At 34.5% G+C, this 24,956-nt stretch overlaps 1 protein-coding gene across 31 annotated transcripts in view; it reads right to left on the bottom strand.

Annotated features, from left to right (window-relative positions):
- The window catches only part of NOL4 (nucleolar protein 4), a 373,814-nt gene that overhangs the window by 241,787 nt on the left and 107,071 nt on the right, over positions 1-24,956 (bottom strand). For 24 of the 31 annotated variants that reach the window (XR_935261.4, XM_047437902.1, XM_047437901.1 and 21 more), the window contains 3 exons: positions 12,163-12,274; positions 11,161-11,273; positions 579-711 (listed from right to left, as the gene is read on the bottom strand). Coding sequence is in view for 27 of the 31 variants with exons in the window: in XM_047437902.1 (XP_047293858.1) it covers positions 579-711; positions 11,161-11,273; positions 12,163-12,274 (358 nt within the window). In the remaining 4 variants the exon portion in view is untranslated. Of the gene's footprint in view, positions 1-578; positions 712-11,160; positions 11,274-12,162; positions 12,275-14,963; positions 15,267-19,742; positions 20,152-24,956 lie in introns of those variants that run through there. The other 7 variants (NM_001384468.1, NM_001384467.1, XM_017026058.3 and 4 more) reach the window with 4 other exon arrangements.

The following is a 24,956-nucleotide window of genomic DNA, read 5'->3' on the forward strand; positions in this document are numbered from 1 at the left end:
GAATAGGCTGATTCAGAAATCTTTCATGAACCCAGGAATAAGAGATCATGAACTTTCTTTCCTTAACAGCTGGATAAAGTAGCTCAAAAATCACAGCAAATATTGTCTTACTCAGCACTATTGCTCTGGTAAAATTTCCTTTAATATCTAGTGATTCTTAGTTGAAACTTGTCTTTTACATAAAAGATAAACATCCAAATTAATCTTTTGATCATATTTAAATGCTTAATTTAGTCGGAAGAATGACAGCCCAAGAAATCAAAGCTAGAAAATATCACAGAAACCAAACTGTATTGATATAACACATATTTTAAGTTCAGGGAGCAAAACATGAATTAACTTGAATTTTATAACCAATATCTGCTTATAAATCAGTCTAACACCTTGGTTTTGAACAGTTTTGAATTAAAAAATAGTGAAGTGGATGATATAACCTAAATACATAGAGAAAAGTTCCCATAGAAATGGGTAGATTTTTAAAAATTGACACAAGAATTAAGAGGTAGTTGTTGTTTCCATGCATTCTGACTCATTTTTTTGCTGTTGTTTTGCTTATTTAGTCAAACTGAAAGGCTTACCATCTTGCTGGCCATGAAGATTCTGGGGACTTTGCATTCTTTCTTCAAGATTGGAGCTAAGATCAGAGTTCACAGCTGACATCCGTGTTGAATCACTCATGTCAAATTCATCACTTTCTATTGAACTTTCATCCTGAAAATAGTTTTAAAATATCATCAAGCATTTTAACGTATAATACGTTTAAATAATAACCATTTTATCTACACAGTCAATTGAAGTTTAACCAGTAAATTTTTACAGAATTCAGAAAAATATGTTACAAACTAATAGATGTTTAAAATAGCAAACAATGGGCCGGGCGTGGTGGCTCAGGTCTGTAATCCCAGCACTTTCAGAGGCTGAGGAGGGCAGATCACGAGGTCAGGAGATCGAGACCATCCTGGCTAACACGGTGAAACCCCGTCTCTACTAAAAATACAGAAAGAAATTAGCCAGGTGTGGCGGTGAGTGCCTGTAGTCCCAGCTACTTGGGAGGCTGAGGCAGGAGAATGGCTTGAACCCAGGAGGCAGAGCTTGCAGTGAGCTGAGATCAAGCCACTGCACTCCAGCCTGGGCAACAGAGCGAGACTCGTCTCAAAAAAACAAACAAACAAACAAACAAAAAAACAATGGAATAATTTCTCCCTTCAAGGAATTTCAAGACTTGTGAAATAATATAAAGAATGATTTTATAGTAAATACTTTCTAAAAGAGTTAATCATAAAATGTAACATAAAGAGAAATACAAGTTTTGATTTAAAACTAAATGACCAAAAAATGTTGTAAGCAGAAATCTTAGAATGCAGAAAGGGCTTTATAAAAAAATTTTCATTGGCAAACAGGATAGATTCTAATATAGCCAACTTATATATTAGGTTCAAAGTCCACATGTAATGGAGAGCAAGCTAATCTTAGTACACCCTTTCTTTCTTTACAAGCAAATATAAATTGCACGGCAACCACAAAGAGGAGTTCTAGGTAAAATTGTGCATGAAACATTTACTAAAAGTCAGTTCATAAAATGGAATTACCAAAAGGCCAGTTTGCTGAATGGCCAATTTATCAAAACTTTCCAAATGTTAAACCAAATCTAGGATATATTATTGCAGTCATTTTTCTGAAGCAAACTTCGTTTGGAGAACTGATTTTTGGACAAATGGTATACTTATACAGGCTGGAAGGCCCGGGAAACCTGTGCAAAATGTAAATGTTTAATCAAAATCTCTAGCTTTGACTTTAATTTGTAAATGTTTGATCTGAACGTTTAACACGAATATAATAATCAGCAGTAGTAGTGCTGCTATTTATGTTGCACACGTTGTTCTTTATATTTTATCACAACTATGAATTAGCTATAAATTTGCAAACAATTTATAGATGAAGAAATTGAGGCACAGAGAAGTTAAATCATTTTCCCTGCTATTATATACTAGAACCGGTAGTCATATGAAGTCATCCAGACTCGAGGAAACAATATATTTGAATAGGAAGAATTACCCTGGTTTCATAAATGACATCTTGGCATCAGCAAAGGAGTTTCTATTATTAACGAACAAGACTATCCTGGTAGACTAATAAATTGGCATTCTGATTCTTATATCAGGCTTGGTGGTTTTGGCTGTGGTGTCTTTCCTTTATCAAAGACTGGGTCATGCTTGGGCACACTGAGTAGCACTAGCTCTTCATTAAGTCAGTAAGGAAATGCCACTGTGTCAGATCCATGGACAATCAGCCACATAGACTTCTCTTAGTTGCATGCCCTCTCTCAATACATTATGTTTACTCCAATTCTAAATTCTAATGTGTATGTGTGTGTGTGTGTGTGTGTGTGTGTGTGTGTATGCAAAAATAAGAGACTTCAATGTGGACTGACATTATCAGTGATAACAATGTGGACTTGTTACTAGTGTTGATCATATACAAATACATACATATATATATACACACGTTGATAGATGATACAGATATCTATTAGATACACTATATTTACTTTCTGTGATGTCATAGTATTTTAGAGGATATTCTCAGAAGCCAGACTTCCTAGATTCAGGTCCATATTCTGCCAGTTATTAGATATGCTACCTTAAGCAAGTTACCTCAACTTACTGTGCCTCAGTTTCTTTATCTATACAATGGAAATAAAAATTGTGCTGCTCTCACAGAGTCACATGTGGAGTGAGGGCGTGTACTATATTTAAAGTATCTAGAACAATGTCAGGTACATGATAAGCACAATAAAATGGTTTAATATTACTATATGGAATATACAATACATTCTACAGTATATAAAATTATGCACATTTATTACAGTATATGAACATATACAACAAAATATAACACATTTCAATATAATGGTAAAGGCAAACAAAATGTGTTACTAAAGTAGCTGTGTGTTTACATAAACATATAAACAGTCTTTATAAGTATTTGTTATAAAGGTCACAAAAAGCTAACTATAAGTAATCTAGTAAAATATCATTTATATGGCATATAAATATGTAAAATGTATATGTATATGAGGATATGTATGTGTGTGTGTATTTATGTTTAAAGAAGAGCTAAATATAAATATTCAAGTCACAGCCTCTGTTCTATGAAATGGTTGTAAAAACAGCCACAGCATATTATGGAAAATCAATATATTTTTTATCACCACTAAAATGTATGCTGACACTCTTGCCAGCATACATTTTAATAAATTCAGATGAGAGATTAAAATGTTTATGTAACCAAATGTATACTTATGTATTTTTGTAATTAAAAAAACCATGTTAAATTATTTACCATCATAAGTGGCTTAATGATTGAGAATATTTTAAATATTTTCCTCCACTACTACATATGAAATATAATTCATTTTCACAATTACATTCCTTATTAGAATTCAATTGTTATACTTTTGTTAAGAGCTTTAATGAGACTAAGTGCATGTATTCATTCTGTATATTCTAGTTTAGTTAATAATTGATTAAATTATTGTTTTTAATAAAAGTTAGCAGAGGTATATGAAATATAAGCTTGTGCTTTTTTACCAACATAGATAAAATACTAATTACACTAGGAAGAAACTACTGAAGGCTTCTAAGAATAAAGAATCAGAAAACTTGACTGATCTGATATTAAGTATTTTATTCATGATTATCTCTAGACCATTCATCTAATTCCTTTCCTCTATGAAAATCTATTTTGTTTGACAACCAGAAAAAAACTCTCCACATCATACTGTGTGAGCTTATTTCTTACATGACTAAAATCTCATGATAATGAAAGTCATGGCCAGAGACCATAGTAATTCTGCCTCCTTGAAACTTAATGTTTTAATATTAGAACAATTTAACTGTAACAAATAATTTTCTTTTCAGTCTTTTCCCTTTTAAACACGGCACTTATTTATTTCTCAAAACCTTTGTTATTGAGCTTTTATTTCTATCTTCAGAAGTTGCTTGAAATGGAGACCCCTAATCTGCTCCATATTTCATTTTAGTTTTCAAGTTCCAGATATTATCTATAAAGGGTCTCTACCATGTACCTCCTGATTTCGCCTGCTATTGTCCTGCCTGATTAGTTCAAAATTGCATTTTGCCATTTCCTAAACTATGTAGTAATAGTCTCCCAGTTAACTTATCCACATCCAATTTCTCTACACCAGTCCTGCCTATTAACAATTGCCAAATTAATCTTCCCATTTCTGAACATGTCACTTCTCTGCTTATAAATTTGCAGCCCTATCCATTGTTTATCAAATAATGTGTATGCTATTCAATCAAATATTTACGGTTTCCCATAAGACTGCTTAAAAACCACTCCCACCAATCTTCTCTTCTGTTGATTTTTTAAAACTTATCATCTGCTCAAATCAAATCAAAGCTTACATTATCAGCATCTCTATGAAATTCATCATCTCAAATCTCAGTGTGCATGAGTGTAGATCCTGTTAAAAATTCATATCCCCAGGTCCCACATATCAGACCTAGAATTAGAATCTTTGGGGTGGTGTCCTGCAACATGTAGCTCAATGAGCTATTTAATGCTGGCTATCTGCCCAGTCCAGTGCTGTTCAAGAAAACATTGTGCAATGATGGAATTGCTCTATAATATTCTCTATTCAATAAGGTAAATACTAGTCGTATGTGGCTGTTGAACATTTGAAATGTGGTTAGTGTGACTTAAGACCTGAATTTTTAGTTTTAATTAATTTTAATTAATGTTCAGTTAAACTTATACATTCACATGTGACTAATGACTACCATCTTAGGCAGTGCATAACTGACAATCCTTTGTTGTGAAATCTTGAAAATATACTCAGTCATTCACTACTAGCAATACAGTAAACATCTTAATAGATAAATTGTTGTTTCATATATCACATTCCTTAGGATAAATTTCTAGTCAAGTAATATAAATATATTTGAAAAGTTTTTAATAATTATCATCAAATCATCCCCCAGAAAGTTTGTTCGAGTTTAAACCCTCACCAACAGTTTATAAGAAGGTCAAATGATCTCATATTGGATACAGTATTTTGTAAAATCTTTCTCAATGCAGTAAGCCTCAAATAACAAGTTAATTCATTAAAATTTTATTTTGGTTAATAAAGGAGGTTGGGGTTTTTTTTATGGATATTGACCATGTAGTGGATAATTTCCAAAGATGGCTACCATGGATCCCTTCCCCTCCCCACTGCCCCTTACATGCATGCTGCTCCTTAGATCAAGGAACAGTATTTCTCTCTCCTCCCCTTGAAACTAGGCTGGTTTTGTTATTTGCTTTGGTCAATAGAAATATGGCAGAAGTGATGCTGTGTCAGTCCCAGAACAACAGGGAGCTTCCACTTCCTGTCTCTTGGAAGCCAGCTGCCATACAATAAAGCTGTCAGTTAAGAAGTCTTACTACCCTGAGACCAGCACACTGTGAGGAAGCATAAGCCAGCCACATGGAGAGTGAGAGGTCACGTAAAGGAGCATAAAGGAGCATCAAGGAACCGGGTACTTAAGTGAGGTTTTCTTGGACTATCCAGCCAGGTCCAGCTACCAATTGAATGTCACTGAGTAAATGATCCTAGCCTATGCCAGAAGTAACAAAATAAATCACCCAGAGGTTCTTGGCTAACTGCTTAACCCATAGAATAATGAGTATTAATAAATCATTTTTGTATTAAGACACTAAGTTTTAGGGGTGGTACATAGCAAAAGAAAACTGAAAAACATCTAATTTCTCCCCTTTGAGCTACACCATAGCATTCTATTTACATTGATTTGTTGCTTAAAAAAACAAATAGTTAATACTAATTTTAAGTGGATGTGTTGCACAGTAGGAAGATTTTGGGCTCCAAAGTTATTTAAACCTAGGTTCAAATATCCAATCTTCTCTCTACCAGTTTAATCATTAGGGCAAGTTTTATCAGCTAAAAACCTTGGTGCCCCATCTGCAAAATGGAGGTAGAGCAGCATGTCAGTGGTTCTAAGTAGTAAATTATTTACGGCCAGTTTCCTAAATTTTCCTGTGTGTTTTTTCTCTCCACATCAATTCTTTCTTTGATGTGTACATAAAAAGAGTAATTTAATAGAATTTTGATATTTGAACATGTTTTGACATTTTTCACAAGACAGTCTTAGCAAACTGTTTAAAAATATTATTTCAGGCCAGGCACCCTCACACCTGTAATCCCAGCACTTTGGGAGGCTGAGGCAGGTGGATCACCTGAGGTCAGGAGTTTGAGACCAGCCTGGCCAACACGGTGAAACCCCATCTCTACTAAAAATACAAAAATTAGCCTGGCATAGTGGCGGGCACCTGTAATCCTAGCTACTCGGGAGGCTGAGGCAGGAGAATTGCTTGAACCCTTGAGGCGGAGGTTGCAGTGAGCCGAGATCGCGCCACTGCACTCCAGCCTAGGCAACAGAGTGAGACTTTGTCTCAAAAAAAAAAAAAAAGACAACTACGCATGCTTCGGTCCCTGATTACTTCAGTGTCTCTGGAAACATCCTGACCTGTCACTTTCATGAACTCTTCCCTAATGATCTGGTCTTCTGCCTTTCTTCAACCATTTTGCTCTCATAATCATGTTCTATGCATTTCATTACCAGCAACTGCACATCCTCCAAAACCTTGATTTTAAGCATCTCACTCTCTACACAACAGCTCAAATTTCCCAGCTCACTTGCTCTAGTATTGCATGTATTCTAGTATTCCGATGAAATTTCTATCCCACTGATATTTATCACCCCTTGATTCTAACCCTCTAACCCTTTTGCATTGACCTCCCCTGCTCTCGCCCCACCTCTCTCATGATCTCACTTATATTCTTATGTGGCTAGAATTCCATGGCTTGTCATTTTAATCATACCCTTATATAACACTTCTATTCTTTTGACAAGACCCAAAATGTGAGTAATTCTCTTTTTCCCTTACTGTCTTCTACCCATGCCCCTATATAGCTGGACATAGAGATGAGCAATTATTTAAATGACTTTACTTGAAACTCAAAAGAGGTCCATTTTCCTGGTCAATTCACTCCTCACTGTCTAGATTTCTACTTCTCACATCCTCTCCTCTTCTCAAACTTTCACCACCTTCTCAAACATCCTTAGTCTTGCTTTTTTTTTTTTTTTAACTGATGAATTAGGAGCAAACAGCAGAACAATTCCATAATCTCCACCACTATTTCCATTCGCCTACCTCTATCTGATCCCTCCTGTCTGTGCTCCATTCTAAGGCCAACTTTTCCAATTTTGTACAAGAAATCCTACCTATTAATGCCAAGGATATTGCTTCATCAATTCTCCTTCCTCTTTTCTAAATCATTATTTTCCTCTGCTACATGAATCTCATCAACATGTAAATATGCTATAATTTCTCTGATTTTAGAAAAAAATATATAATAAAAAACTCCTGTTCCCATGCTCCCTCCATCTCCTACCTCTTTCCCCTGCTCCCCTTCATAGCAAACTCTTCAATGGCCTTGCTGCTGTCATCCTGAGCACCCCATAAAAACTGCTCTTGTAAAGAACACCATTGACTTCCACCAGGCTAAACACAAATTTAATTTTCAGACTTCAGTATAATTGACTTATCACTTGATTTGACATAATACATTACTGTAGACATATTGAAAAACCTTTTTCCAGTTTTATTCTAGTTCACAAACTCTCCTGCCTCTCCTAATACCCTGGGTGCTCTTTCTCAGTATCCTCTGTTGGTTCCTCCCTATCTGCCAGATGTTATAACATTGGAATTTCCCAAATCAAAGTTATTGGGCTTTGTTTGTTCAGTCTACACTCACTACCTTGGTAGTATCTTCAGTCTCATGGCTTCACACACTATCTGCCGATGATGCTTGGCCTTATGTCTAGCTTAGTTCTTTGCTCTTAATTACACATGCCAACTGTCTAATTGACAAATCTACTTGAATCTCTAATAAACCTCTTAAATATACTTGAATTTCTAATGAAGAGCTCACATGAACTTCTAGTATCATTCCTCAAATGTTTTCTACCCACAGTTTTTCTTACACTAGTTAATACCAATTCTACCCTACTTGTTCAGATTAAAGACCTTGGAGCCATTACTACCTCTTGACTTTCATGCTTCACATCGAATCTGTCAGCAAAACTTAAAATCTATTCATAATTTCACCTCTTTTCACTACCTAAACCACTGTCTTTGATCCAAGCCACTATTATCTTCTTTCCTGAAACATCCATCAGAAGCTTTTGTTAAATCCAACTAAAATGTATACTCATAAGAGGACCATTGAAAACCCTTGGCATTAGCTTCTTCTAGAAACATGTAGCAAAGGAAACTCTTGCCAGTAGGGCAGCATCAGGTGTTTCTCTTCCATGGAAGCCCTTGCAGGGGCCATGTAGAAATTCACATAGTTAATTAGACATATTTTCTTTAGCTCTTCCTGTGATATAGCTCAGGTACAAGAAAGCAGTAATCATACTGGGTAGGTTGGAAACTTAGCAGAGAAGCCCCATGCCCCAAAAGAGACAAAAATCTCTTATCACACCACAGTTAATAACTTAAGGTCCTCACAAAGGACATGCCAATTGCAAAAATCATCCAACTCAAGGAAATCTGAAGATTCTAACCAGATATTTCTAGTCTTCTGATACAGTTTATCAATTGGAATCATTTTTGCCATAGGAACATTGCCTAGTAACAGAGTTATCATTTCAATGTTAGCAGTTTTGTGGAGCGCAAACTCCAAAAGTTATTCAAAGGCCAATTTCTCATGCAGGAAGGAATAGAGCTTTGTTAACTCCTTACCCACACTGATTTCTGTAATAACCTTCTACTGGTGTCCCTGCATCCAGTTTTTTTTTCCTCTTCAATCTATTCTCAGCCCCCATCATTATGTTAAAATATAAATCAGATCACATGACTTCTCTGCTCAAAACCTTCTAATGGCTCCCCATATTACTCAGAGTAAAATTTAAAAGTTCTTAAAATGTAAGACTCTATATAACTTGGCTTTCCACTATCTCCTTAAACTCCTCTCCTATTTTCCTCTTCCTTGAACATTCTGTTCCAACCATGTTGACTGTCTTGCTGTTCCTGCAGCTACTAGATATATACCTGCCTCAGGAAGTTTTCACTATATCCCTCTGCTACATGCACACATTTCCTTCACTTCTATTCAAATGATACATTTTAATAAAGCCTTTTAAACTTGTGATTCCCTAGTTCTAAAGGGAGTCCCATGTCTGGCCTTCTTTATTTCTCTTAATAGCCTTTAGCATATTCTTATATACCTATGGCCATTATTTTCTTTATTATATGTTTACCCCCACAAAAGACAAAGATTTTTCTCAATTTATTCACTGTTTTTCTTCAGGAGGACCAGATACATGTAAGTACTGAATAAATATTGGTTGAACTTATTGGATTAATGCTTATTCAAATTTAAATATAATTTGTTAGACAGGAATATTTCACTTACATTCCATTTTAATGTGACTTCCTTTACTTAACCTCTTTTTCATCTTTCAATAAACACAATTTTCTAAAAATTTTGCAAATAATCTAACTAGTCATTTATCTAAATATTTTAAGGAAGCGTGACATCCAATTTAGTATTTTCAAAATGTAAGGATAAGAGTTATTTTTCTAATCTAGTTATAAATTTTAAAGGATCTATTTCTTTTGTGTAAAATACTTATGATTTTTTAGAAGCCAGAAGGGATCAGCATATGTGGGCGCATTGTTGGCACAAAGTGGATCTTCTTACATTTTGGCCTAGTAATAAACATATCAACATCTAAATGAGCTTCCTACAAATAATCTGACAGCTCTAACTAGTTAATGAGACATTTAAAAATTTTTTTCAACTATATAATGAATCATGAAGATAGTTTTTTTTTATCATTCTCAGGGATGGAAGGACATTAGTATTTTCTTAATTGTCATTGATATCTTTAACCCAATGATTTTATTACTATTTATTCAATTATTTATATGTAGCCATATGGCAATATAAAATCCAATATTGCCACTGCACTAATATGAATTTTTGTATGGAGTATACCCTGAATAACATCTATTGAGATCAAACAATTTTATAAATATAGCTTGGAGGTTAAAACTGCTTAAATACAGAGGAAAACTAAAAACTTGATTTGAGTTTTATGAATAAAGTAAGTTCAACAAAGTAATTTTAAAAGAATGCAATCATAGCTTAGCAAATAATTCTGTATTTGAAAAACAAACATTTAACCTCATTTCCTGTTTTAGAGAAATTTCAAGAAGATAATTTATTAGCCTGAGGACCTGAACCTGTTTCTAATATAAATAACCTGAATGCATCTATTGAGTATTAACTAGTCAACAAGGATGTACTAAGCACCTATTGTATATCTGCTATTGTTATTTATTTTGGAGAATATAAACCATACATATATAACTTAGTCCCTGCTTTGACATAGCTTCAACCAAAATGGCTAGCTAACTAGAATCCTACAGAGTATTTAAGAAATATGTTTTTAGTGTCTATACATGCAGCATGTTGCTAAATTTTCACTATACAAATTAAATAGGATAACTTAAAACATCAAAACACTTCTAATTAAGAATGACCACAGATTGTCTCTAGGAAATGCACAGAAGTAAATAAATAATATATAGAATAGCAGTTAATTAAAAAATAACTTTAAAATTTACATAAGGTTTGAATGATGGAGAAATGATAATACTTGAAATACCCATTAACTCTACTTTTCTGATTGCCATGCAAAATAGCCTTAGTACTTAAATTTCCTTAGAATCTCAATTATTTCGGATACTTTACTGTGAACTTACCCCCTCTGAACTTTGTAGCACTTTACCAAGGCCAGCTCAGTGATGGTCTACTAAGGAAAATGTAGCTTTCTTGGGAACAAACAAATTCCCACATAACACTAAGACAGAGGTGTTAAGCAGGGGCTCTGTATTGTGGACTAGGAGTTTCTGCTCACTTTTCCCATCTGTGCAACTGTGGTGAGATTCATTCATTAAAAAATAAATTACTGTCTTCAAAATGCCATCATGCTTAATATGATAGTCATGGTTATCAAGCTTCGTTCCAATTTGTAAGTAATACAAATGTAGATGTTTTTATTTTACCTCATCTTGCTGTGAGTTTAGCAGCTGCAGCTTCATGTGTTTCATGTAGGCCATGGTAATTGGCATGTTGTAGTCAATCATGCTGGTCACCAAAGTGGGAGGTTTTCCATTATCTGTAATAAAACATTTTTAATGGGTAATGAAAGTAATACTGCATTCTACCTGTAATTTTAAAATGATCTATTTCTCCAAATTGAAACAGGATTTTAGATATCAAGTGTCTTAAAGCATGGTAGCATTATAGTTGGACGGTAGAAAAAACAACTAGTAAGGTTCTACAAAGGTGTATTGACACTGTTTAACAGTACTAATAAATTATTTATAAATGCAGGGGAACTTTTAAACATCCTGAATAACAATAAATAAACCTAATGTGGTTACTAACACAATTATTTGTATTTTTCTTCTTTGCTTTACTTTCTATATGTATTTTTTGAATGCCGAAGGAAATCTGCTCAATTTTTTGCTTTTGGCCATTCGATTTAACCTTCGAGACACAGGAATGAGCCAGCAAAAAATGTATCTCTGAGACTGATATAATCTCTGAGAGGAAGTCATATTTAGCTAAATAATTTTCAATAATTTTAATGAGAGCTAAATCCAAATCATAATTTTAATGTAAAATTTTTTAGTAAAGAAACTCCACATTATTCATAATTTTTAGAAATAAGGAATTGGTAGATTTAAAAAGACATTGATAGAAACCAATTTCCTTGCTGAATATATCTAAAATAGCATGAAATACATATAATAAATGAAAATTAAAACATGATTACAGGGAAAAATGTTATTTGCCACAGCTGAAACTGTCTTTCTTCTAAGAATGGGCACTGAATTACTTTGTAAGTGGATATTCAAAATTCACTGCCTCCTACTTGAATAAATGAGATGATCTGACTTGTTGAACTGTTTCAGTCTACCACGTTTTTATAAAAATGTGAGATACAAATGGCCATTATGAATAAAATTACTTTAAATCTCACTATTTGACACTGCAGCTACCTTTATGATCTGTTCCATCTGGGTTTAAATGCATTCTTTTCTGGCACTCTGAGCAGCTCATTAGAAATCGTGTCACCGCTTCTCTTGGTAGGAAGGCATAGCTCTCTGAAATCTGAAATGATTCACAAAATACAGGTGTTATTATATAAGCTCACTGAGCATGATTTAACAGAAATGATCATTGTATTTCCAAATAAGACACGTTATTCCATAATGGCAGGAAGCACAATGAAAGCATGCATTGCATACCATGCATCATTTCAAGAAATATCTATCAAACTTGATTAGATGTCTTTTAATAAAAGCCAATAATGCCATGTGGAGACAAAAATCAACCACATCTCGATGGGCATCTGTTTATATTTTGCATTTCTTTTAGGTAAAATAATCACAGTGTACAGATGTCCTAGTGAATTTTCCTTATTATTAAACATTGCCAACATTGTTTTTAAACTTACTGCTAGCACAATCAAATTTGTATCCAATTTTAAATACTCTTTTTTGTAATTTAGCCCCAAGTAGGAGCAATAAACTCTGGATTTTGCACAATGAACATTTCTTCATTGTTGCTTTTCAAAATATTTTAAGTGAGAATAAAAAATAAATTCAAACAGAACTTATGTATATATTTACTGCAGTGAATCATCCCTTCCACAGAAAATGACACATCTGGAAATGCATTTAGGCCACCTATTTCATTCATTTTATGTCAATTTTTTATAATGTATGTCCATAATAGCTCACACTGACTGTCAGAGCAAGCCTTTTCTGTGGCCTATATAGAGCTTTGTTTTCAGAACCATAATCTAGAATCAAGTTAGAAATCCATACTACCATTACAGTAATTTTATAAATATTAATTTTCTAAAACCAAGTTCTCTCATCAAAGCAAATAATTCCTTATGTGAAACTGATAGATAGTTGAATATCTTTAAATAAAAGCTGACAGTGACTCAGACAGTGCTACTAAGAAGTCTGATGCCGGGCTTCAGTTTTCCACCATAGCACTAACATTTTACATGAAATATAAGATAAGCAATAGGAATAAATGAGTTGCAAATAAGACATAAATGCCACAGATGATTTCTTAGGTGCATCTATAGCCCTTACAAACACTGATGTATTTTAAATTAGTAAAAATGAGGGGAAATGTGCAACAAATGTATAATTGAGTGCAAATGGGTGCTAGTTCTCTTAGTGGTGATGGAGTCAACTTTGCTTAGCCAGGCTACAGAAGCCTAGCCTTGAGAAAACCCCATATACTAAGATCCAAAATTGTAAAGCTCATTTTTCTCTTAATTTAATATTAAAATCAGTTTATACCACATAGCCTATCCTATTGACTTTAAGGGAAAAGAAGCCATAAGAATACTGAAGAGGAGAAACAGGCTTACAATTAAAATCTGCCATTGATAATCCATATTCAGGTCATTAAAATTCAACACTCTTAGGGGTTGAAATATAGAACTCTTATTTTTAAATATTATATTGACAGAGTAAGATATCCAGATTTCAAAAAATACTGCTTCAGACTATGCAGTTATTGTGTGAGGAAAATGATCAGAACAATTCTAAACTATTTTGTGAAAAATTTTATATTATTTAATAAGAAAATATATATATAATTTAGGTTCTCATTCATTTTCTCTCTCTTTCCCTATAAACACACACAGCATATATGAATTTGAATCCTATTTTTCTGTTTTTACAGAGGGAATAAACACTTCTAACTGACTTATTTCATTAGAGATCATTATTTTCTTACTCTCTGAAGAAATATTTTATACTAATTCAGAAGAAAAAGTCTATAATGCATGCTTCATCCTTATATTTTATATTTCAAAGCATATCGAGTTATAGTCCATTAGAACTAATGCGTCTGACCAGTAAATTTATTATCAAGTAGGATTTTAGGTAAAGGCTCCATTGGTTTTTCTAGATTTCTATTAAATTTTTTATCTACTTTATAAAAGAGAAATATTTCATTGAAAGATAGGTAAGTGCTGGAGTTGGAGAGACACTCCATTGGCTTCCACGGTCCTGATACTTTCTGAAATCTTCTCTTTTCCCCATGCTAATGAAGCACTTGTGTAGAAAACCCTTCAGGATAGATTTATCATTGACCTGAATCAATCCTATGACTTGTCTAGCAGCATTTAGCCCCAAATCAATTTTTCTTGAAATTATTAATAATCATATCACATTAGTTTTATAGCTTTACTCTGAAAAATACTACATGTAATGGTCAAAAATGTTTGTGTTCATGTATACATGTGTGCATGAAATAATACAAAGCCCACTTTGTATCTTAGAAAATATTTTTAAGCAAATATTTTATCATATTATTCTTTCCGGTATGGCTCTAACATAGTACTTGCCATGTCACTATCTATTACATAAGATAAAAGCGCTTATTTGGGAATAGTTTTCTTGGTGTTTAGAATTCATGTTATAGGGACACCTGCCATGGCATTCCACTCCCCTTGAATCTTTTCTTCCCCACCTCATATTCACTGGGGCCCACAGACCACAGAGTCCTCCTATGCACAGGGAAGAAAGATCCTCCAAGCAGGCTTTTCACATCTCATACTCATTTCTGAAAAAAAATATTTCTCCTGCAACGCACGTAAAGAAAAAAAAAAAAAAACTTTTTTCCCTATTCAGAATCTTTTCTCCCAGGCCTATTCGAAATTAAGAGTCCTGGAATTTTCAGGAGTCACCAAGATGGTGAAATAGGAGTTTCCAGCATTTGTCCCCTCACAGAAACATGAACTTGAATAACCATCCATGCACAAAAATACCTTCACAACAACTAAGGAATCCAAGTAAGTGATTACAGCACCTGAGTAGAGCATAGAAATAAGAAAAGACTCAATGAATAAGGTAGAAAAGACGGTTTCACATTATATATGTCAACTCTCCCTCAAACCCATGCAGCACAACTTGGAGAAAGAAGTTCTCCACATGGTTGAAGGAGAGTGAAGTGAGCACTCAACTTCAGCTTCACTTTGGACCCTAGCAACAGGCCCTCCATTACACTCGAGGCACCAAGTATTGAAGCCATTGAAGTTAAGTTGTTATCAGCTTAAAATAGTTTGTTATAAGTTATTTTATGTAAGTGCTATGGTAACCACAAAGAAAAATTCTGTAAGTAGATATGCAAAAGATGAAGAAAAAGTAATCAAAACATACAACTACACAAACATCATCAAATCACAAAGGAAGAGACCAAGAAAGGAAGAAAAGAAAAATAGTCATAAAACAGTTAGTAAAATGGCAGTAGTAAGTCCTTATCTATCAATAATTACATTAAATATAAATGGATCAAATTCTCCAATCAAAAGTCAGAGTGGCTAAATGAATTTAAAAAAAAAAGAACTAACTATATGCTGTCTACAAAAGTATCACATTAGCTATAAGTGGACACATAGGCTGAAAGTGAAAGGATAGAAAAATATATCCCATGCAAATGGTAACCAAAAGGGATCAGGGCTGGCTATATTCACATCAAACATAATAGGGTGCTTGTTAAAAATTGTCACAAGAGGCAATGAAGGTCGTTAAATAATGATAAAGTCAATTCATCAAGAAGATATAACAATGGTAAATATATATGTACCTCAAATCAGAGCACCTAAATATATAAAGCCAATGTTAATAGAACTGAGGGATAAACAAACAGCAACACGTTAACAGCAGAGAACTTCAATATATCCCTTTCAATAGTAAATAGATAGTTCAGATAGAAAATGAATAAGGAAACAGCAGACTTGAACAACACTAGAAACTGAATGAACCTAATGGACATATACAAAACTTATCACCCAACAGCAGCAGAATACACATACTACTCACGTGAACAGGGAAGAATCTTCAGGATAGATCATATGTTAGGCCACAAAACAAGTCCTAACAAATTTTAAAAAACTGAAAACATATGAAAAATCTTTAGAGCACACTGGTATGAAACTAGAAATCAATAATAGAAGAAAAATTGAAAAATTTACAAATATGTGAAAATAAAAAACACACTCCTGAGCAAAGAAGAAATCAAACAGGAAATCCAGAAATATCTTGAGTGCAACAAACTGGGAACACAACATATCAAAACTTATGAAATACGGCAAAAGCAGTTCAAACAGGGAAGTGTATAGCAATAAATGCCACATTAAAAAAAAAGAGCCAGAAGTGGTGGCTCATGCCTGTAATCCCAGCTACTTGGGTAGCTGAAAAGGAAGGATCATTTGAGGCTAGGAGTTTGAAACAAGCCTGGGTAATATAGTGAGATTCTGTCTCTAAAAAAGATTATAAAAAGTAAAAATTCGTCGGGCATGGTGGCATGCACCTGTAGTCCCAGCTACTCAGGAGGCTGAGGTGGGAGGATAGCTGGAACCCAGGAGTTCAAGACTGCGGTGAGCTATGATCATGCCACTGCATTCCAGCATGAGTGACAGAGGGAGAGCCTGTTTCCTGTTTCTAAAAACAATAATAATATTAATGAATTAATTTTTAAAAGAAGAAAAAAAGATCTCAAATAACCTAGCTTTATATCTCAAAGAAGTAGAAAAAGAAGAACAAATTATGGCCAAAGTTAACAGAAGGAAATAATAAGGATCAGAATAGAAATAAAAAAGGTAGAGACCAGAAAAACAATAAAAAAGATCAATGAAACTTGAGTTATTTATTTTTTGAAAAGATATACAAAATTGACAAAACTTTACCTAGACCAAGAAACAGAGAAGAATCAAATAAATAAAATTATAATTAAATGAAGAGATATTATAAATATCAGAGAAATACAAAGAATCACAAGAATCATGAACAATTATATATGCCAACAAATCGGATAACACAAAAGAAATGCATAAATTCCTAGAAATGTGCAGCATACCAAGACTGAATCATAAAAAGCAGGACATATGCACAGATCGATAGTGAGTAAGGGATCAAATCAGTAATCAAAAACCTCCCAATAAAGAAAGTCCCAGGACCTGACGGCTTCACTGGTAAATTCTACCAAACATTCCAAGAAGAATTAACAATAATCCTTCTCAAACTCCTTCCATCCCCGCCCTCCCACAAAAAAAAAAAAAAAAAAAAAAAAAAAAAAAAAAATACTGGGTAGGAGGGAACACTTCCAAGTTCATGTCAGCATTACCTTGATACCAAAGCCAGACAAGGACGCTACAAAAAAAGTTTACAGCCAATTTCTCTGATGAACATAGATGAAAAACTCAACAAAAACTAGCAAACAAAATTTAAAAGCACATTAAAAGGATTATACCCTATAGTCAAGTGGGTTTTATCACTAGGATGCAAGGATGTTTCAACATACACAAATCAATAAATGAGATTCACCACATTAGCAGAATGAAGGATAAAAGTAATATAATCATCTCAACAGATTCAGAAAAAGCATTTGACAAAATTCAACATCTATTCATGATTAAAACTCTTAACAAATATGTATAGAAGAAATGTACCTCAATATAATAAAAGCCATATGTAACAAGCCCACAGCTAATGTCATATTCAGTGGTGAGAAAATGAAAACTTTTCTTCTAAAATCAAGAATAAGACAAGGATGCCCACTTTTGTCACTTGTATTCAATATGGTACTAGAAGTCCTAGTCAGAGTAATAAAAAGTTAGAAAAAGATAAGCCATCTAAACTTGAAAGAAAGAAATAAAATTTTCTTTGCTTACAAGTGAAATTATCTTATAGACAGAAAATCCTAAAGACCCCACCAAAACAATGTTAGAACTTATAAACAAATCCAGTAAAGTTGCAGGACAAAAAAATCAGGATACAAAATCAGCTGAATGTTTATAGATAACAATGAACTATACAAAAAAGAATAAGAAGACAATGTCATTTAAAATAGCATCAAAAATAAAATAAACTAGAAAAACAATTCAATCAAGACGATAAAAGAGATATACAATGAAAACTATAAAAAAGAAAGAATAATCTCTGACAAATATACCAAGAACACACAAAGAGAAGGGATAATCTCTTTAATAAATGGTATTTGGAAACTGGATAACCAAATGTGGAAGAAATAAATTGGCCCTTGTATCACACCTTATACAAAAATAAACTTAAAATGGATTAAAGACTTAAATGTGTGCATATGTGTGTGTGCACACATAGAATGTGACAACCCATAGAATGGAGGGAATTATTTGCAAACCATACATAATAAAGGGTTAATTTCAAAAACATATAAAGAACTCAAAAAATTTCATAGCAATAAAACAACCTGTTTTAAAAATAGGCTGCTATGTTTTGAATGTCCGTGTCTTCTTAAACTTTTTCTTTGAAACTTAATCCCCAGTCTAGTAGTGTTAGGCTGTGAGGCCTTTTGGAGGCTCTACTCTCATAAATGGGATTAGTGCCCTTATAGAAGATGTCTAAGGGGGCTTGCTTGTCTCTTCTGCCCTTCCACCAAGAAAGAAAGCATCATCTACGTGGAATGATTCCTTGTCAGACACTAAATATGCTGGTAGCTTGCTCTTGGGCTTCCTAGGTTCCATAACTATGGGTAATAAATTTATATTACTTTTAAATTATCCAGTCTAGATTATTTCATTATAGCAGCCCAAACAGACTAAGACATAGGCAAAAGACATGAATCGGCATTTCCCTAAAGAAAACATACAAATGGCTAACAGGTATATGAAAAAATGTCGAACATCACTAATCATCAGAGAAATAAAAATGAAAACCACAATGAGATATCACCTCACACCTGTTAGGATCGCTATTATAAAAAAGTCAAAGACAAAAAGTATTGGCAATGATGTGAAGAAAAGGGAAGCCTTGTACACTACTGGTGAAAATGTAAATCAACCCAGCCATTATAGAAAACAATATGGTGGTTCCCCTAGAAATTGAAAATAGAACTGCCAAGTGATCCAGCAATTCCATTTCTGGGAATATATCCAAAGGAAATGGAAATCATTATCTCAAAGAGATATCTGCACTCCTATGTTCATTGCAACCTTATTCACAATAGCCAGGATATGGGGACAACTAGGCCAGGTACGGTGGCCCACACCTGCAATCCCAGCACTTTGGGAGGCTGAGGCAGGTGAATCACCAGAGGTCAGGAGTTCGAGACCAGCCTGGCCAACATGATGAAACCTTATCTCTACTAAAATTATGAAAATTGGCCAGGTGTGATGGCAGGTACCTGTAATCCCTGCTACTTGGGAAGATGAGACAGGAGAATCACTTGAACCCGGGAGGCAGAGTTTGAAGTGAGCCAAGATTGTGCCACTGCACTCTAGCCTGGGTGACAGAGTGAGACTGTCCCCCCCCAAAAAAAAAAGATATGGGGACAATATAAGTGTCTACTGATGAATGGATAAAGAAAACATGATATAAAATATATATCAATATTTAATTTTATATGTGTATATATACATATATATTTCATGTCACTACACATACATAATGAAATATTATTCATCCCCAAAAAAGAAGGAAATCCTGTCATTTGCAACAACATGTATGAACCTGGAGATTATTATGGTAAGTGAAATAAGCCTGACACAGAAAGACAAGCATAATCTCACCTGTAAGTGGAAATTGAAAAAGTCAAACTCATAGAAGCTGAGAGTAGAATACAATGGTGGTTCCAGTGGCTGGAGGGTGAGGAAAATGAGGAGATATTGGTCAAAGGGTACAAAGTTTCCATCATGTAGTATGAGTAAGTTCTAGAGATCAAATGTATAGCATAGTAACCGTAGATAATTCTGTAATGTATGCTTAAAATTCATTAATAGAGTAAATCTCAAGTGTTACCACATGTACCCACAAATGGTTACTATATGAGGTGATGGACATGCTAATTAGCTTGATTGCGGTAATAATTTCACAATGTATATGTGTATGAAAACACGTTGTACACCTAACATATATAAAATCTGTTTCTCAAGACAGGGTCACAGGGTCTCTTTCTATTGCCCAGGCTGCAATCACAGCTCACTGTAGACTCAAAGTCCTGGGCTCAAGTGATCGATCCTCCTGCCTCAGCCTCCCAATTAGCTAGGACTACAGGTGCGGACCACTAAGCCCAACTTTTTTTGTTTTGTTTTGTTTTGTTTGGTGAAGATGGGGTCTCATCATGTTGCCCAGTCTGGTCTTGAACTCCTAGCCTCCAGCAATCCTCCCATCTTGGTGTCCCAGAGCTCTGGGATTACAGGCATGAGCAACTGCACCTGGCTACAATTTTCATTTACCAAGTATGCCTCAATAAAGCTAGCAAAAAAGGAAAATATCCTAGACAAGCTTCATTACTGAAGTTCTTAGCATGGTGGCTCACACCTGTAATCCCAACAATTTGACAGGCTGAGGCTAGAGGATCACTTGAGACTAGGAGTTCGTGACAACCCAGCCAACATAGATCCTATCTCTATATAAAATTTTAAAAATTAGTTGTGCATGGTAGTGTGTGCCTGTAGTCTCAGCTGGTCAAGGAGGCTGAAGCAGGAGGCTCACTTGAGCCCATGACTTTGATGTTGCAGGGAGCTATTATTATGCTACTGCACTCCAGCCTGGGTAGCAGGGTGAGACAGTGCCTCTTAAAAAAAAAAAATTAAAACAGTGTCCTGTCTTTGGAAAATTCTTAAATTATGGTATATTTGAATAATTACATTTCATAATTAAACTTTTATGATGAAATACTGCCATTTGATTCTGTGGGCATCTTTATTTAACCTAATTCAGAGACAGCATTGAAAGCCTATGTGCCAATCCTCTTCCAACTTGAGGCCTATGTTAAGTACCTCTATGACTCTTACCCTAATGAAAGGCCTGTTCTCATTTGCTGGGAATTAATGTTTGAAATGTTAAATCAATTTTAAATAGATGTTCATAAATGGTGATAAAACTCAGGGACATGTCCCTCAAGGTAGCCCATTTATCAAAGTCCTAATATCTTTCTCGCAATATGTAATAGCAGTTGCAAATAAAACCTAGAAGGAACAGAAATTTAAAAAGATTTTGATTCAGATACTAAAAATACTATTCTACTAATATTACAATTAACTATGTAAAATACTATAATCATTCATAAATGTCATAAATGTCTTGGACCCAGTTTTCCAATGTGAATATTCTGCTTCTAGATGGAAATTGGATTTTGAATATACAGTACAGAACATTTTCTAGAATATTGGTGAGAACATGTTTCACTTGAAAATGTATTCTTAAAAATATTTTTATATTTCAGAAAGATAGAGTATTTCCTTAGAATTTGTTTATGAACACAGAAACACTGTCCCTTGATAGTGATAAGACACAAAATAGAATGGATGTTAGTCTTGATCTCTCTTAACTAAGCACTAAAAAAATCACAACTTCCATGTGACAAACCACATATTAAATATATTGCTCACAACAGAAACAAACATGTTAAGGATGAACTGGAACACGGCCACATTGAACCTTAAAACTAATGACCTAACATTATTTATCAAGTAAATAATTATGGGAAATTTATTTCTTACAAATGTTGTTTTCTAGGAATCTAGATTTGTTTTCTTATGCTTATATAATGTTATACTTTTCACTGTGGTTTTACTACCATTATTTTAGCAAATGGTTAAAACAGATTTTCCAGTAACTTTTTGATAAATTGGTTGACTGCTGTAAAGAGATGAAATGAATTGTCGTTGTTACACAGCAGAGGGCAAAGTAAAATGCTGGAAGTCAAACAAGGATTTCCCAAATACTGGTCTATTTCTGTAAATTTAATGGACCATGGGTGGCTTATCCAACAGACAAGACAAATGCTAAGGGCCCAGGGAAAGCAGACAAAAAAAAAAAATTTCAAGAAACCCAAAGTATCAAAATGTCATCACAGAAAAATTCAGTGTTTGTTAAACTATCTTCAACTTGAGTCATGGGAAAGATTTGTTATTGTTATTATTTTTTAACCTTGAATTGAGAGAGAAGGAAGGAAGAAACTAGCTAGGAAAATAGGGCAAAGAGTCCTCGGCAGAATTTCTGCTCTAACAAAGAGCAGCCTGGAAGATCAGGCTGCAGACATAGATAAGGAAGCAAGTTCGAGCACAAAGATGGAGTCTCCTGTGTAATTAGCAAGTTTCACATGCATACAGTGGGTCCCAGTAAGCACTGTGGGCCCTAGTGAGCACATTCCTTTCCTTTTTTGGACATACACCAGTAAGGAAGCTGGAAGCTTGCATGAAGGTGGTGCATGCAGCTGCACCAATCGAAAGAACTACCTTGGGCCAGTCACATCCACCATGGCCAGGCACGTCACCCAAGCTGGAGTGGAGTAGCATAATAATAGCTCCCTGCAACCTCAAAGTCATGGGCTCAAGCAAGCCTCCTGCCTCAGCCTCCTTGACTAGCTGGACTACAGACACAATCTACCATGCACAACTAATTTTTAAATTTTTGCCCACCCCCCTCCCCCTTAGCACATGCACAGTGGGGAAAAGATAAGCAACATGGAATAACTTAGGCTAAAGACCTGCCTGGGCAATAAAAGGTTGGGGTGGGGACTGCCAGAGTGTCACACCCTATGCAAATGACACACCTAGTCCTAATAGGTTTTTTACGCCCTATGTAGATGAAATACTCCCTCCCCAGTAACTTGCTTATAAAAACCCTTGCATTTCCCTGAAGAACGGTAACCCTTTTTCGGGGACTTCTCTCTGCAGCAGAGAGCTGTTCTCTTTACTTTGCTTATTAAATTTCTGCTCTAATCTCACCCTTGGTGTGTCCACGTTCTTGATTTCCTTGGCAGTGAGACAAAGAATTTCAGTGTCACCCCAGACAATGAGGCCATTTCAGAATTATCTACGGTTGTGGAGTGGGGGAATTTGGCACAAGGTACATTTTTCATAACTTACCACTTGTAAAGGCCTTAATTCATTTGAGTATTGGGAAACATGGATAGTGTTTTCAGTGTAAATATTACAGTCTAAGTCCTTTAGGACTGGAATTCATCAGTAAAACAGAAAATAATAGATTAAATTATTTCCATAAATTAGAAGTAGAAATGACCTCTACCATCCAAAAAGTATAGCAATACTTCCATATAAAAGTAATTTAACCACAGCCTCTTTTGATGGACTGAACAATAAAATCAGCCTCTGGAGCAATAACAGCACAACATTAGTGATCCAGTGACAAACTTATCCACCTGCAGAAAGCTCAATGATCAAGTTCTATAAAGGGCATGGTTTCCTATCTTCCATCTGTGGGTTATAAAAAAAAACAAGCAAACTCTTGGGAATACCTTACTGAAAATCCCACGGACAAATATACTTGTCTACTTGCCAATGTTCTGCTTTTCGGAAGAAAAAAATGGTACTTTAAGAAGCCCTACAACTATAAAGCCAAATACTGGCCATTCCTGAGTATTACTAGCCTTCGCCTTTAACACAATGCAGTTAAGGTAAACTTATAAGTTATCCAAAAATCTGAAATTTTAAAAGCAATCACAAGCAATCTAATTTGCAAAACTCATCTTGTAAATTCAATAATATATAATACTAAAGTTTTTTCACATTTTCTTTTTTAGTATCAGAGTCTTCAGAAATAAATGACCTTTCCAACTTGGATCTGAAGTAACATAAAGTTAGAAAAATTGAAGAAGTTAATTAATCAAAAAAATTTAATAACAAATTGTTGTTTTGCTCTATTTTTTCAGACTGTGTATCATAAGTATGTAACGTAAGTTTATCTCCTTAACTCAAGCCATAAAATAGTGCAAATTAAGAGAAAAAAATAACGGAAAATAATTTTAAAACATGGAGAATTTGACCATGTCTTCTTTTCTCAGTCCCAAGTATCCTTCCTCTCTAATTGCAACAATGTTTCATTTCTAAGTTATTCAATAAAAAGGGTTTCTAACTATTCAGTTTGTATTATATATAAACCTGCAAACCTCTGGTTCCTGAAATGGTAGAGAATTTGCAATCCTCAAAATTAAGATTCTCGTTAATTACATGACAATTACTAGTTTTGGCTGCATTACATGGACGAAAATGTCACCAAGCAATCTATGTCTGATTGTTTTCCATTAATTGAGTACTTAGTAAATGGATTATGCTGAATCAGAACTTTACATGAGTTTCATCATTTAATCCTCACAACAGTCCCACGAATAGATTACCATGATCACTATCATGATCTCTGTGTAACAGATGAGGGAGCTAAGCTTCAGAGAGGTTGTGTATTTTGCCAATTATGTACAAGAGACAGGACTCACCTGCTATTGTGGTTTCAAAGCCTATCACTTTAACCACTGTTTTACAGCCACTCCTAGTTATCAGTATTGAAAAAAGATAGAGACTGTTTCATCCATAAAGAGCTGGGATATTAACCTCACAGCATAGGTTAATTATTCTAAAATGTTTATAATGCTCCCTGGTGTGAAGTTCTTTATAAGTGTAAAATGCTCTAACTAGTTTGGGGTGACCTTTCTGAATACAAGGGTCAGTCAAGCACTCTGTACCTTGTCTCAGGTTACAAAGTTTCTCAAGAACAAGTCAGACTATGGAGTAACAACACAGAGCTCCGCCTGGAAAAAATTAACAGGCCATCTGTTCCATTCCAGCAAAACTGAGGACTAAAATGATGGCTTTGTGACAATGCTGTAATATTTTAGCAGCCAGTCAGTAAATGCGTTGGACTTCCATTTTTAATAGAATTTAGGAGAGGAATGTAAATAACTGCCTCTTCCTAAAGGAACAAGACATCTAATTGTAAGAAATTCGCCAGCAGAGAAGCCATTCTTGGTCTAAGATTTGAAG

This window comes from Homo sapiens, chromosome 18 (assembly GCF_000001405.40).
Source record: "Homo sapiens chromosome 18, GRCh38.p14 Primary Assembly".
Lineage (NCBI taxonomy): Eukaryota > Metazoa > Chordata > Mammalia > Primates > Hominidae > Homo > Homo sapiens.